The sequence below is a fragment of the Homo sapiens genome, chromosome 3 (assembly GCF_000001405.40).
Source record: "Homo sapiens chromosome 3, GRCh38.p14 Primary Assembly".
Classification (NCBI taxonomy): Eukaryota; Metazoa; Chordata; class Mammalia; order Primates; family Hominidae; genus Homo; species Homo sapiens.
The window spans coordinates 3558508-3574848 of record NC_000003.12 but is presented as its reverse complement, the minus strand read 5'-3'; the positions used below and the strand labels follow the sequence as shown (position 1 = coordinate 3574848).

General features: G+C 39.6%; 1 annotated feature.

The window, feature by feature from the left end:
* Positions 14586 to 15785: an enhancer, noted in NCBI's record as "MED14-independent group 3 enhancer chr3:3600748-3601947 (GRCh37/hg19 assembly coordinates)". NCBI's record gives its function as "activates an origin of replication core promoter dependent on BRD2, BRD4, P300/CBP and CDK7 cofactors, and independent of MED14, by STARR-seq in HCT116 cells {active_cell/tissue: HCT116}" and the evidence as "EXISTENCE:reporter gene assay evidence [ECO:0000049][PMID:35650434]".

The window sequence follows — 16341 nt, the reverse complement described above, 5'->3', positions numbered from 1 at the left end:
GAGAGGATTTCAAAATAAATTTAGTGTAGCCTAAGTGTACAGTGTTTAGGAAGTCAACAGTAATCACAGTAATGTACTAGGCTTTCACATTTACTCACCATTCCCTTATACCCAGAAAAATTTCCAGTCCTGTAAACTCCATTCATGGTACAGGTGGACCATATTTTATCTCTTATGCAGTATTTTTACTGTACATTTCCTATGTCTAAATGCACAAATACTTACCATCGTGTTACGATTGCTGGTAGTTTTCAGTACAGTAACATCTTGTACAGGTTTGTAGCCGAGGAACCATAGGCTATACCATAGCCTAGGTATGTAGTAGGCTATACCATCTAGGTTTGTGTAAATACTCTCTATGATGCTCTCACAATGATGAAATCGCCTAAGGACACATTTCTCAGAATGTATCCCCAACTCTAATCAACCCATGACTGTAATATGTTATAGTAATAAGTTTTTCCTATGTTGATTTGTGTGCATAGAATACATTGTTATAAAATATTATTATTTTTGTAGTGCTAAATTCTATCTTCAGGCATTTTATTAGTGACTTGTAGATATGAATCTATCAGAGCAGTGTAGTTTTTGTGTTACCAGGTTTTAGAGAAAACATGAAAAACCTGTGGGTGGGATACCACCTTCCTGATGTTTTTCCTCTCCTGGGTTAACAAATGAAACTGTGTGACCCTCTTAGGCAGCAAGTAACAGTAGCCCTGCCCTAACTGGTGTCAGCTGACTGCTGTCAAAAGGGAAGAAAACATGTGTCTGCAAATTTTCTTGTTAAAAATCCTTCTTGCTTTAAAGTGTGCTTGGATTTTTAGAAACTGCTGGTAGAGGAGAGAATCATGCCTCTCAGTTTTGCTGTCCCAGGGTGGAAATAAAAGAGATTAGACAACCCTCTATCCCTTTTTGTAGGTTCTCACTCACTTCCCCGTGAGGGTGATGAATATGTTCACTTTCCTGATCATGGTGATGACTTCATGGGTGAATACATATTTTAAAATACATCAAATGATACACATTGCCTCTGTGCGGTCTAGTGTATGTCAATTAGACTTCAATCAAGCTGTTAAAATAACCTTGGTTTTTAAAGGAAGAAGTCATGTGGGCTGAAAAGGGGAAAAAGGCAGTCTTTCTATGTGGGAGAGAAGGGGACCCCAGGTGGGAGGGGGTATTAACAAAACCTTTTTAAACATTTCAGTGATTCTTCATTCTCTTATAGTGAATCATATCTGTATGGTCCATTTTCTATATAATATTTCTTGTGAGATGTGAAGCATGTGATTAATTTGAGGTTTGTTTTGGGGGTAGAGTGTAAAATGGAACTCTTACAGGAAATACTTTGTGTAAACAATTCTTACGCTGCTGCAATGCAGAGCAAAATGACAGTAAAAGCACAACTAAGTAAAATGTATGTTAACACTTTTATATGTTCATTACTGTAGATGTTTTTATCAGTTTTAAGACTGAATCACACAGTTACTGACCAATTGCATGCTATAATCCTCAGGAATGCAATGCATGAGTGAATTTATTAAGGTACTCCTAGGGGTTTAAGCGATTTAATGAAAAATGAACTTTTAAGGAAAAAGATGGCAGGTAATAAATATGAGATACTTCCCACCTGCTTCTGATATATAACGCAGTGGATGTTCCATTCACTTATGCTAAAGATGGATCACTATAACCACGCCAGCAGGAAACTTTAGCTGAATTCTGTAAACGGCAATCAAAGTAGGCCGAGGTCACCTGAAATTACTCTCAAAGATGATCTTGTCTCAAGTGAAATTTTAAAGTGGGGAGGGATTTGGAATTTTAAAGAGGAGAGGCTTGTAAATACAATGAGGTTAGGCTACAAGAAAGTTCTGGGGGACTAATCTACTTGTTTATTCAAATAAAGTGAAAATTAAGAATTTTGTCTTTGTTTACAATGCTACTGCTCAAAAGGTGGATTTGGTGCATTCCTTTTTTTATGTCCTGGGGTTTATTGCTTTCGACACTTCTACTTGTATAATTTCATGCCTCCAAGTCATGGAAAAATAGTGGCTAAGGAAGGACCTCAATTACCCTGTCCTGATGTGGATTATGGAAAATGTATTCATTCAACCGACAAATAGTTCAGTGCTTACAGTGTCCCAGGCACCAAATTAGTAACTGATAAGGCAACTGTTTGCAAGAAAGACAAGGTGTATACCCTCAAGGTTATAATTCTACCTGGGCAGATGGATGTTAGGCATTGGGAAATTGATAAGGATAAATGCCATGAAGGACATAAAAAGAGGAGGGTGATGGGACTACTGGAGGGGAGAAACTCTTCCTCCCAAGAGCTAGGAGGGTCCTGAGATGGGGAGAGCCTCACCTCTGCCTCTCAACCTGGGCATCAACTTTAAACAGATTGCCAGCAAGAACAAAAGCCATGGGTCTGGACCCCCTCTCCCACAGGGTGACATCCTAAAGCGGTGGTTCTCAAACTTGGTTGAATTTGGCAATGACTTAGGGAGTTTGGAAAAAAACAACTGATACCTGATTCCCAACCCCAGGGGTTCTTGTTTAATTGGTATGGAGAGCTGCCTGGAGAGGTTGAAAAGCTCCCCAGGTGTCGCTCATGTACAGCACGGTTGCAGAACTCTCAAGCAGTGGTTCTCAAACTTCCCTGGGTGCCTAAATCGCCTGGAGGTCTTGTTAAGACAGTGATTTGTGAACGTCCCAGCAGTGTTCGTGAATCAGTACATCTGGGGGTCAGGGGTTGAGGTTGAGAATTTACCCTTATAACGAGCTCACAGGTAATGCTGGTGGTGACCCAACGACCACATTTTAAGAACTATTCTATGATCCTTTACTATGTACTTAATCTGCACATCGAAATAGCATTTTAAGTGTTCCATTAGTAAAAATATGGTTTTATACTTCTCCCAGGTTAATGGGAAAAATGTTCTAGTGAATCTACCCATTTGGGGAAATTGAGCCAAATTCAAGCAAATTAAATATTACCCAACATAATCGATGTCCAGACAATTTATCTTGCATTTCGTAGATCAAGTCTTTCAAGAGCCCCAATTATGTAATTATGTGGGAACAGTTGAAAAAAATATTTGTTATTGTATCGTCATACCTCGGAGACATCACAGGGTTGGTTCTAGACTAGTACAATAAAGTCAATATTACCATAAAATGAGTCATGTGAATTTTGGTTTCCCAGCATATATAAAAGTTATGTTTATACTATACTGTAGCCTATTAAGTGTGCAGTAGCATTATGCCTAAAGTAACAATGTACGTATCTTAATTAAAAATACCTTATTGCTAAAAAATCTTCGGAGGCCTTAGCAAGTCATAATCTTTTGACTGGTGAAGGGTCTTGCCTCCATGTTGATGGCTGCTGACTGATCAGGGTGGAGGTTGCTGGAGGTTGGGGTGGGTGTGGCAATTTCTTAAAATAAGACACCACCGAAGTTTACTGCAGCAGTGGGCTCTTTTCACAAAGGAGTTATCGGTAGCATGTGATGCTGCTGGATAGCTTTTAACCCATGGTAGAAGTGTTATCAAAACTGGAGTCAATCCTCTCAAACCCTGCCACTATTAACTAAACTTGTGTAATGTTCTAGTTTGTTGTCATTTCAACAACATTCACAGCATCTTCAGCAGGAGTAGCTTCCACCTCAAGAAACCACTTTCCTTGATCATTCATAAGAAGCCACTCTTCATTCAGTTTTATTCTGACATTATAGCAATTTAGTCACATCTTCAGTCTCTGCTTCCAATTTTAGTTTTTTATTTCCACCTCATCTGCAATTACTTCCTCCACTGAAGTCTCAAACCCCTTGAAGTCATCTATGAGGATTAGAATCTATTTCTTTCAAACTTTTGTTAATGTTGATATTTTGACCTCCTCTCATGAATCATGAATGTTGTTAATGGCATTTAGAGTGGCGAATCCTTTCCAGAAGGTTTTCAGTTTACTTTGCAGAGATCCATCAGGGGAATCACTATGTATGGCAGCTATTGCCTTATGAAATATATGTCTTAAATATCAAGACTTTAGAATTGAAATGACTCCTTCATCCATAGATTGCTGAATGGATGTTGTGTTAGAAGGCATGAAAACAACATTCATCACCTAGTACATCTCCATCAGAGCTCTAGCATGACCAGGTACATTGTCAATGGGCAGTAATATTTTGAAAGAAATCTTTTTTTTCTGAGCAATAAATCTCAACAGTGGGCTTAAAATATTAAGTAAACCATGCCATAAACAGATGTCTGTCATCTAGACATTGTTTTTGCATTTATAGAGCATGGGCAGAGCAGATTTAGCAAATTAGCCCTAGGATTTTTGGAATGGCCAAGGAGCATTGGCCTCAACTTAAAGTCACCAGCTGCATTAACCCCTAACCAGAGGGTCATCCTGTTCTTTGAAGCTAGGCATTGAATTCTCCTTTCTAGCCATGTAAGTCTCAGATGGCATCTTCTTCCAATATACAGCTGTTTCATCTACATTGAAAATCTGTTGTTTAGTATAGCTACTTTTGTCAATTATCTTAGCTAGATCTTCTGGATAATTGGCTGCAGCTTTTCCATCAGCACTTGCTGCTTTACCTTGCACTTTCATGTTACGGAAACAGCTTATTTCCTTAAACCTCATGAACCAACTTCTGCCAGCTTCCAGTTTTTCTTCTGAAATTTCCTTACCTCTCTCAGCCTTCATAGTTTTGAAGACAGTTGGAGACTTGCTGTGGAATAAGCTTTGGCATAAGGGAATGTTGTAACTGGTTTGATCTTCTTATTCTTTCCTAGCTTTTGAGTTAAAGTGAGACATGTGACTCTTTCTTTCACTTGAACACATAGAGGGCATTGGAAGGTTTTTAATTGGCCCAATTTTAATTCTGTGGGTCTTGGGGAGTAGGGAGACCTGAGGGGAGGGAGAGAGACGGGGGAATAGCTGGACAGTGGAACAGTGAGTGAGGACATACACAATATTTATCTGTTAAGTTTGTTGTCTTATGTGAGCGTGATTCATGGCATCCCAAAACAATTACAATAGTAACTTCAAAGAACACTGATCACAGATCATCATAACATATAATAATGAAAACATTTGAAATATTGCAAGAATTACCAAAATGTGACACAGAGCCATGAAGTGAGCACATGCTGTTGGAAAACTGGCACTGATAGGCTTGCTTCGTGCAAAGCTGCCACAGACCTTCAACTTGTTAAAAAAAAAAAAAACCACAATATCTGTAAAGTGCAATAAAAAGAAGTGGAATAAAATGAGGTGTGTGTCTCATAAACTTCACTGGCAAGTTCCAGTCTTAAAATCTTGTTGCTATCTTTCTCTATGCTCCTATAACAGAATATGAGATTGGGTAATTTATAAAGAACAACAATTTATTTTCTCACAGTTCTTGGTTGAGAAGTCCGAGATCAAGTTCAGTTGCCTAGTGAGGACTACATCCTCTAGAGGGGAGGATCACTATGTCCTTACATGGCAGGGATGGATGGGCAAGAGACAGAACACTGCAAGAGACTTTTTTTTTTTTTTTTTTTTTTGAGACGGAGTCTCACTCTGTCACCCAGGCTGGAGTGCAGTGGTGTGATCTCGGCTCACTGTAATCTCCACCTCCCAGGTTCAAGTGATTCTCCTGCCTCAGCCTCCTGAGTAGCCGGGATCACTGGCATGCACCACCATGCCTGGCTAACTTTTATATTTTTAGTAGAGATGGGGTTTCATCATGTCGATCAGGCTGGTCTTTGAACACCTGACCTCGTGATCCACCCACCTCGGCCTCCCAAAGTGCTGGAATTACAGGCATGAGCAACTGCACCCAGCCAAGAAACCTCTTTTATAAGGACCTTAATCCCGTTTAAGAAGCCCTCATGACCTCACTATCTCTTCATGGCCCCACCTCTTAAAACTATCACATTGGCAACACCAGAATTTTGTGGGGGGGAGGGCACACATTGAAATCATAGCAATTATACTGATGAGAGATGCCCCCAAAAGCTGTCCATAAGTGGTCAAGCACAATATCTTCAGGTTCTGGTAGCCATTCTATGTGCAATTTCAAGAGCTAGATTGAAGGGGGTCTCTATTGTCATCAACCTCTGTTGACTCAAAGGAATTGTTCAATGAAGAGAGATGGTAAAGGGTAAAGGCCTTATTTTACCAGGAATGCTACAAATTTTTTATAAATTTACATAAAGGGTCTGGTTCCTGCAGTGAGAATACATGTCAAACTAGTTTGTGGGTATCAAGAAATCAAAAGTGGCCACTCTGGGGGAATACCTGTAGTCTGTCACTGCCATTGATATCAGCTTAATCTGTCTTCAAGGAATTGGCTTGTCTTGTTCATTATGATATGCTGTTGGGGCTAAGGCCACTGGCTGCCTTGACCTCTAAAGTGTATTTTCTCCTCAGTCACTGCACATTAACTTTCTGGTTCTTTGGGTTTGTGCATGTTCTTCCTCACACACACACTCACAAGAACAACAAAAAGTGGGCTCGCCTCAAAAGCAATTGCAACAAAAGCAAAAATTGACAAGTAGGACCTAATTGAACTCAAGAGCTTCTGCACATCAGAAGAGACTATCAACATAATAAGGAGAAAACCTACAGGGTGGGAGAAGATACTCGCAAACTATGTATCCAACAAGGAACCAATATCCAGAATCTATAAGGAACATAACAACTGAACAAGCACAAAACAAATAGCCCCTTTAAAAATAAATAAAATACATGAATAGACACTTCTCAGAAGAAGACATACAATCTGCCAATAAACATGGAAAAATGCCCCACATCACTAATCATCAAGGAAATGCAAATCAAAACTACAAAGAGATACCATCTCACATCAGTCAGAAGAGCTATCATTAAAAAGTCAAACAGTGGATACTGGTGAGGCTGAGGAGAAACGGGAATGCATATACACTGTTGGTGATAGTGTTCAGCCACGTAGAAAGCAGTTTGCAGATTTCTCAAAGAACTTAGAACTACTCTTTGACCCAGCAATCCCATTACTGAGTATATATCCTAAATAAAATAAGTTGCTTTACCAAAAACACACATGCATTTGCATGTTTATCACAGCAATATTCATAGTAGTGAAGACATGCCATTAACCTAGACGCCCATCAATGGTGGACTGGATAAAGAAGATGTGCTACCTATACACATGGAATATTACACAGCCATAAAAAAGAACAATATGTCCTTTGAAGCAACATGGATACAGCTGGAGGCCATTATTCTAAGCAAATTAACATGGGAACAGAAAACCAAATGCTGCATGTTCTCACTTAGAAGTGAGAGCTAAACATTGTGTACTCATGGACATAAAGATGGAAACAATAGAAACTGGGAAATACTGGAGTAGGGAGGGAGGAGGAAGGGTAAGGGCTGAAAAACTGTACGGTACTGTGTTCAGTACCGGGGTGACAAGATCGGTTGTACTCCAAACCTCAGAATCTTGCAATATGCTCAGGTGACAAACTTGCACATGTAACCCCTGAACCTAAAAAGCTAAAATCATTAAACAGAAAAGTGAGCTGGCATGGAAAACAGTATTTTGCCAATTGTGCAAGAATTTGACTAAGCCTTGCAAGGCAACATAGCAGAGTGATTTTTTATTCTCCAACTTCATAAGAAATGACACATTTATTTCTCTAAACTAGTTTGCAACTCCTCTGAGTGCCTAGTTTGCCTGGCTGTTGGGAAATTTAGTCTCAATCATGATTGAGGCTCCATGTCTCTTGGAGCTGTCTAAAGGTCCCAAAATCTTATATTTTCCACCTTGGAGAGTCTCTCTGGTATCAGTTATTCTTTATAAGCCTCTATTCCTTAACTGTCTTCACCCTATCAAAAAGAATTCCTTTCATTTCGTGGGGGAAACCTTTCTTCCCTCCTCACATCTATCCTCTTTCCCTAGGCATTCAGCTCTTTCTTCTTCCCCTCTAATCCCTTAAAGTTAACATAATCACACTCAGCATTTTTTTTTTTTTTTTTGAGAACAAAAGCAAAATGCTACTTTCACCCAGCAATACACATGCCCCTCAGGGAAAAGGATAAAAATGCTAAACTGTCCTCTTATAGTGGAGCAGAGGAAAAAATACAGAAAGAGCAAAATAACAAATTAATAATTAAAAAGTATCCTATTAGAAGTATAAAAATTCTAAACTGTTGTTTCCCCTGAATCTTCTGGCAAAATCAAACCTCTGATGAACTGTGCTATGTGTTTAATTTAACTTTACATACTTTTGGTATTCCAAATTATTCCCTGGGGCACATATATTCCAGCTGGAGAAACGGGGTTATAAATCTCATTTGATTCTTCATAACCTACGGATTGGGAGCCATTATCTCTCTTTTATAGATGGTAAAACTGAGGCTCAAATAATTTGAGATTTACCCTTGGTTAGTGATGATTCATTCAGCAAATCCTTTGAGTACCTGTGATGTGCCAGACACTGCTCTAGGGGCAGGGGATACATTTGTGAAGAAGAACAGTCCTGCCCACTTCTCCTACTGTAATTGGTATGGGAGTAGGCAGGGGAGATTAATATCATAAAGTAAATTTAGAAAGAATTTCAAGGGGCCGGGCGCTGTGGCTCACGCCTGTAATCCTAGCACTTTGGGAGGCCGAGGCGGGTGGATCACAAGGTCGGGAGATCGAGACCATCCTGGCTAACACGGTGAAACCCCGTCTCTACTAAAAATGCAAAAAATGAGCCAGGCATGGTGGTGGGCGCCTGTAGTCCCACCTACTCAGGAGGCTGAGGCAGGAGAATGGCGTGAACCCAGAAGGTGGAGCTTGCAGTGAGCCGAGATCGCGCCACTGCACTCCAGCCTGGGTGATGGAGCGAGACTCCATCTCAGAAAAAAAAAAAAAAAAAAGACAAAAAAGAAAGGATTTCAGATTATGGCAATAGAAACAGCTAAGTCCTTTGAGTTCTCACTGTATTCCCATAACAGGTATAAGTGCTTAACACACACGCGATCATCTAATCCTTGCAAGAACTTTGTCCAGTAGGAAATGTTACATTATTTCTGATGAGAAAACTAAGGGAGGTAGAGAGATGTTAAGGGACTTGTATACAATAAGCAAGAAATTCAATCCCAGACACCCACGAATAACTGATGTGATACTATGAAGAAAACAAAAGATCACAAGATGGGGTGTGCGATAGAGGGAAGCTATTTTTATAAGGAGGTTGTCATCATCTCTCTGGAGTTACACGTGCGTTTAAGCCAAAATGGGTAGGAGACATGTACACATTTAGGAAGAGATATATTTTCTGTGCAAAGGCCCTGTGGCTGGATAAGACCAGTTTAGAAATTCTTATCTATTGGAGCCTAAATTCAGTGATCTCTCTGCTTTATAAATGTAAAATCACTAACTGTGGGGCCTCTAGCAAATAAAACCCAAAGCCTTGGTGACAGGAGGACAGCTTTGGCCAACAAAATTTTTAACCCATTTGCTGAGCATTCAGCTCGAGCAGGTTTTATGATTTTTCATAACAGCCTCATTTTACTCTTAGCTTGGTTAGCCAGCTGAAGGCTCCAGAGCTATTTAGAAGTTCACATTTTCTCTCAGTTATTAGTTTCATAAACATGGGCCAATTCTTACTTTTCTGATCCTTTTCTAGCTCTTAGTTTTGCATCAAAATGATATTTTGGAAACAGCTATTATTTCTATTGCATTGCTGGAGCTTTTTCTTTTCTGTTTTAGGAAGTTTGGGGAAAAGATTTTTTAATTTTCCTGCCTGGACTTATTCTGCTTAGCTAAAGTTGTCAGCAGCTGCCTTTGTGAGGAGTCTTTCAAGTGTACTGACACGATGATGGGTGGATGGTCTCCTTTCTAGACTGAAGATTCATGGTTGGCTCTGTTTCTGAAAGCACAGGGATGAGAGATCTCCCAACCTGGTTAGGTGCTCCCAAAAGTTATTTTGGTTCCAAGACTGAGCATTGGCATCAGAGGACTGGGTCATACTACTTACTAAATTGTCTATTCCTTAGTTAAACAGAAATACCTATTTCCTAGACATGCCAAGTAATTGAAGTCTATTCAATGATTTCTTCATTCAACAGTGTATGATGAGAAGAGCAGTACATAATGTCTCTCTGAGCCATGTTGCTAGCTCTGCCTTGAGCCAGCAAGGTGACTATCAATAAATGAACTTGTATTTCTGAATCTCAGTTTCCACATTTGTAAAATGAAGCTTAATGTCAAAGGAAGGGTGATATGTATCTGGTACTAGTTCCGTTTCTCTGGAGAACCCTGACTAAAAAAGATTTTGGTACCAAAAATGATTCTAGAGAAACAGAATTTTATAGATAAGTTTTTCTGAATTGATTCTGGTGTTTTTGGAATTGGCTCTTTAATCTGATTAGATTTAAAGATGCCAATGATTCCATTTCCGGTAATAGAAAAATGATATCCCATGGCCTTAACTTTTACAGAGATAAGTAAAATATTCTTAATCCTAATCAATCACTTAAAAGAAGCAAGTAGCTATATGACCCCATATAATACTTTTCAACATTTTTGGAAAATAAATGAAACAGTGACACTGGTTGATTACTGCTAATGTCACTAGAAAAAGTGGTGACAGATAAAGATGAGCTCAGGAATTTGAATTTCCAGTTTAAGTGCTGCATAAAAGACCTAAGATCTTCTATGTGTGTCCTGAAGGAGATGGTTTTCTCCTGTATCCACAGGGCTGAAATTGCTGAAAATCTAATGCAGAACTTCATCCTGCAACTGGCTTAATTACAGTATAAGTTAACTCACAGCCTGACAGGGTGTTGACTGTTTAAAGTGAGGGCATTGATGGGAAATAATGGGTTCCCATAAGCTGAAATGGGTACATGTGGGAAGAATGTGATCAAACTAGGGACATAAAGCCCCTCAGTTCTTTACCGGTGCTGTCAAAGACAGAAATTATCAAGAAAGAGCGTTGGCCGGTTGTATTCTGTACCACTAAGTATAGGAGGGATGTTTTCAAAGGGTCTGTTGAATTTATTGAGAAATCATCAAGAAAAATTTTGAAATAATTTTAAATGGAGTGATGAGGGCAGCATGACAAGGGATTCTCCACCCCAGGCAGAATATCCCTCCCCACCGCCAGCAGAAGTGGCCCTAATCCCAGTTGTATAGCCTTTCTAACTTGCCTGAGGAGGTTTACCCTGCATTGCCTGAGAAAACTCTCTCCTCAGGAATCTGCCATGCAAGACAATACTGATTCTCCTCAGGACCTGCCTTTCTTTGGTTCCAGACCTGTACTAGACTTAAGTCCCAGCAGGCCCCTAAAAGTGAGATACAATGTGTGACCCACAAGGAGGTGCATTCATTCCCACTATTTTACTTCTCTGGAGTATCCTGAGTAATAAACACACTAAAGGCTGGCCCAGCCTGGAAGCAAAGCAAGTATAAGGAGCCAGCAGGTAGCCATCCCCCAAGTTCACGTTGTTGCTCAATCTTGTGGTTCTACCACTCTAGTGTCAAGGAATAATCCTTCTAGGGTCATTCTTCTAGGAAGACCACATCTTTCTATAAGACAAAACAAACCCAAGAGAAGGAGACCAAGAGCTCGGAATATTTCCCAATGTTGAGACTCTCCTAGTCCCTAAGTCTTCTCAGATCTAAACAACTCCAAAGCAGAAGTACAGCTTTCTAATCTTGCCACAGGAGAACAAGAGAGCAGGGCTGGGCAAGCTCAATTGGTTTGTTACTCCAACCTCATGAATGAAAATGCCCCAAAAGACTTTCCCCCACCAAAGCTTATGAGCAAGGAAACGCATTCTCCCCTGGACCCTCTAAAATAAAACACAGCCCTGCCAGCACTTTGGATTTAGCCTGGTGAGATTCATACTAACTTCTGATGTATAGAACTGTAAGATTATAAACTGTTTCTGCCAAAGCTCTATACCCGAGAAATTATAGCCTAATGAATATCTTTGAAGTTCATTAATCATTGATAGTTGTCCTCCTTAGTGTAGAATAAGTGATGCAAAATAGGAATGGAAAAGAGCTGTGTGTTACAATAGAAAACAAATGGGTCCAACTATGTGATTTCTAAGGCACTGTCTATTTAACAATTTGTGAATCTCAGTCTAAGAGTCTAGGGCCCTCAACATGTGAAGGAGTGGGAACCCTGCTCTTTTCGCAGTGGTCAATGTAAGCCTCATAAGGTACTCATCTTTATTTCCTTTAGTTTGTTTCAAGGCAAGGTAAGTTTAACTTCAATGTACTGGACAAAATTGAAACTTAAAGGACAGATACATACTAATATCCTATGTTTTAATCTAATCTGAATCGATAGCTTTGCATTAGTCTCAGCATCTAGAATATATATATACATATACTATATGGCCTATGTATAGATTGTCCATCTCTCCCTCTCCGTGTGTGTGTGTGTGTGTGTGTGTGTGTGTGTGTGTGTGTGTGTGTGTATATATATATATATATATATACACACACACACATATACATATACTATTCTTCCAGAATTATAGTTTTTAAACATTCATTTCCTACTTCAAAATCAATAATGACAAGGCATTTGCTGGAAACTCTGGAACACTTTGTTGAGTAAAACAAGAAAATGGAAATGCAAATAAAGTTAACTTCAGGTTCAAATATAGTTCATATATTTCTCCTTACCAACAAATTTCCAAAGTCATTGGAAATATTTTGATGAAAGCTTTTAGTGTTCACAAATAATGTTATATCTAAAAGTGCATTTCTCCTGATAATGCTAATATACATATGGCATAAAAATAGGTTGTAGAGATCTAGCTGAATGTAGCTTTTTATAAACTCCCACATTTATTCTATTTTTATTGCACTTCTGCCTAGACTGAAATAGGATAGATCTGACCTTGACCTGAGACACATCTGTACTGCAAATCCTAGAGTTTCCACAAGGACTATTTGACTAGCTCTTGTAAATTAAGGGCCTTTTACTGCCAGTGGTAATGAAGTCTCCCTGTCTTAAAGTCTCCTTTTTCCCTAGAGGGTCCTCTAATCCAATGCAAGTACTACCTTAGTATTATTCTCATAATCCAGGTTACAACAGATCTACCAGCCATTGCTGGCTTTGCATGTTCAAGAAGGGGTAACAAGCCAAGACACATAGGCAACTTCTGCAAGCTGGGAATGGACCTCAGTTGTCAGTCATTAAGAAGATAGAGACCCCAGTCCTACATTGAAAGGAAATGAATTCTGCCTATAACCTAAATGAGCAAGGAAACAGATTCTCCCCTAGACCCTCTAAAATGAAACACAGCCCTGCCAGCCTGTTGGTTTTAGCCTGGTGAGAGTCATACCAACTTCTGATCTACAGAACTATGAGATTGTAAATTTGTATTGTTTTAAGCCACTAAGTATATGGTGGTCTGTTACAGCAGCACAGGAAAACTAATACATCCAGAGGAGGAAAAGTCAAAATACTTGCTTAATGGTTCAGAAAGGAAATGATAGCAATATAAGTGTGGCAAGACATCATGTGACATGCGACTAAATTTCCTCTCTTTATTAGAGTTATGGAAAGTAATAGAGAAGGCAGATTGAAGAACTGATGCATGGATGAGATTTTTGATACTAAGCCCCAACCTGTGCTCTGAATTCCACAGACAAAACTGTGCTGATGTACTCTTTCCTTCTGTCCCTTTGGAGCTGGGTAAACATTCCCTTCCTTTGTGTCTACTTAACCGTGCTGAGCCAAACCCAAGTAGTATTTCTTAAATAGTGTCAGCAGCAATTTTGCCTTTGGGAAATAATTCTTTGAAGCTGTAGTTTGCTTCTAACAGCATTTCTGGAGAACAGAAGACATCATCATTTAAATGTCACCACTTTCGAGTAGACTCGAAGAGGTTATAAACCCTAGCCCAAAGAATAACAATTCAAGGCAAAATTAGAGCATAAGTTTTATATATATATATATATGGTCCATTTCATGCTGATTCGAAAGAAAAGTATTCAGGGTTTCTGCAGTTTGTTTTAGATTTAACAGAAAAGCTTCATCTGTTAGTTCACAGTGCAGGCTGTTATCTGATCACTGGTGCCATTGACATCACTCTGTAGGCATTTTGGTTATTTCTGGAAATAGCAGCAGCAGGAAAGACTGTTAAGCCCTAAAGAGAATTAAGTCTTGGAATGGAAAATTTAGTTCAGTCCTTAGTGACAGGCTTCCTCTCAAAGCTGTTTGAAGATGAAGCTCTCACTTATAAATAAACAACTTGGAATCTTCTCCCACCTTGACTTATTTTCCATGAGAGACTTCAACTGCACACTCTCTCTAAGGGGATAATCAAACCAACTGCTGGGATCCAAGCTGTCAGTTTGTTCTTCAGAGTATCTGAATGCTGAATGGCTGCCCTCTCCTCATGAGGGAAGCTGATTGGCCCAGGAAGAGTGTGGAATGAAGGGGCATTGTGGTAATTACCTCCCTGCAATGGCAGAACACAGGATGCCTGTGGTCCATGACTCCATATTGTTTGCTGAGGCCTATATTTCAGGACAAGATAGAGATAGGTCGTTTCTCTATGCTGTGACAGGCCGGCAAAGCAGAGTCATAATTATTTAACAAACATAGTGTCTATGAAAAATAAAATATCACAAAATCTGTAGGGAACTCAGAAGTTTTCAAGTTCAACCCCAATGCAAGGAAGAAGGCTCTTCAGGCTATTCCCTGAAGACGAGATTGAACCTCACAGCTATAGAGACTGACCACCCCTCATGGAAGCCTGGCCACCTTTCAGAAAGCTGCATTTGTTAGAAATGGAATTTTCATGTTGACCTGAATGTGGATCTTTGTCATCTTTTCCCTGGTGGTTCTGCAGTCTATGGCCACATAGAACAAGTCCAGACTTGTCTACAGTAGAATTCTCAAGCTCTGCAGGGTTCTTAAATATGAAGTTGTTCAAACCAATTATTTTACAGGCAAGAAAACTAGGGTCAAAGAATAGTCATTGTTTTGCTCACAGTCAGAGCTTTATGGTGGCCATTACAAACCCAAGTTGCCCAGCGCCCTGAGTGTTCCCCCTCTATACTCTGCCCAAGAAAAGAACCTAAGTCAAAGGGCTGTTCTGTTAGAGGGAAAAACGAGTGTGGGAATGAAAAAATCCTGGGTTCTAATTATGGTGTTGGAACTTATTATGTATTTGACTTTGTGTGTTTTTCTTAACTTTTCTTATCCTCAAGTTTTTTAATTAAGAAAAACGAGACTTCCCCTGAAGAAGAAATGAGGTAATCATGTTAAAAAGCACCTAATCCAGTGCCTGAATTGGAATAAACATAAACATATTTTAAAGTTCTTGTTAAAATCTTTCAGCAAATGTTTTATGAGTTCTTTCTAGGTTCTGGGCACTGATACAGATGCTGGGTGTATTGAAGTGAACCAAAACATGTTCGGTCCCTGCCTTCATGGGGAGGGAGAAAATGAACAAATATACACATGTATCTAAGTCATATTTTAATAAGTGCCCTGAAGAAACACAGCAAAGCTTGGGGGGTAGAGTTAAAAGGTGCTCTTTTCTTTTAATAATTTTAATTTTAAGTTCTGGGGTACATATGTAGGATGTGCAGGTTTGTTACGTGGGTAAATGTGTGCCATGGTGGTTTGCTGCACCTGTCAACCCATCACCTAGGTAATAAGCCCAGCTTGCATTAGATATTTTTCCCAATGCTCTCCCTCCCCCAACCCCACTCCTGACAGGCCCCAGTATGTGTTGCTCCCCTCCCTGTGTCCATGTGTTCTCATTGTTCAGCTCCCACTTACAAGTGAGAACACGCAGTATTTGGTTTTCTGTTCCTGCCTTAGTTTGCTGAGGATAATGGCTTCCAGCTCCATCCATGTTCCTGCACAAGACATGATCTCATTCCTTTTTATGGCTGCATAATATTCTATGGTGTATATGTACCACATTTTCCTTATCCAGTCTATCATTGATGGGCATTTTTGTTGATTCCATGTATTTGCTATTGTGAATAGTGCCACAATGAACATACGCATGCATGTATCTTTGTAATAGAATTATTTCTATTTCTTTGGGTATATACCCAGTAACAGGATTGCTGGGTCAAATGGTATTTCTCCTTCTAGATCTTTGAGGAATCACCACGCTGTGTTCCATAGTGGTTGAACTAATTCACCTTCCCACTGATCATCAGAGAAATGCAAATAGAAACCAGAATGAGATACCATCTCATGCCAGTGAGAATGGTGATTATTAAAAAGGCAAGAAACAACAGATGCTGGTGAGGTTGCAGAGAAAAAGGTGCTCTTTTCTGTAGAGAGGTTAGGGAAAGCATCTTGGGGAATGGGTATCTGAGGAAT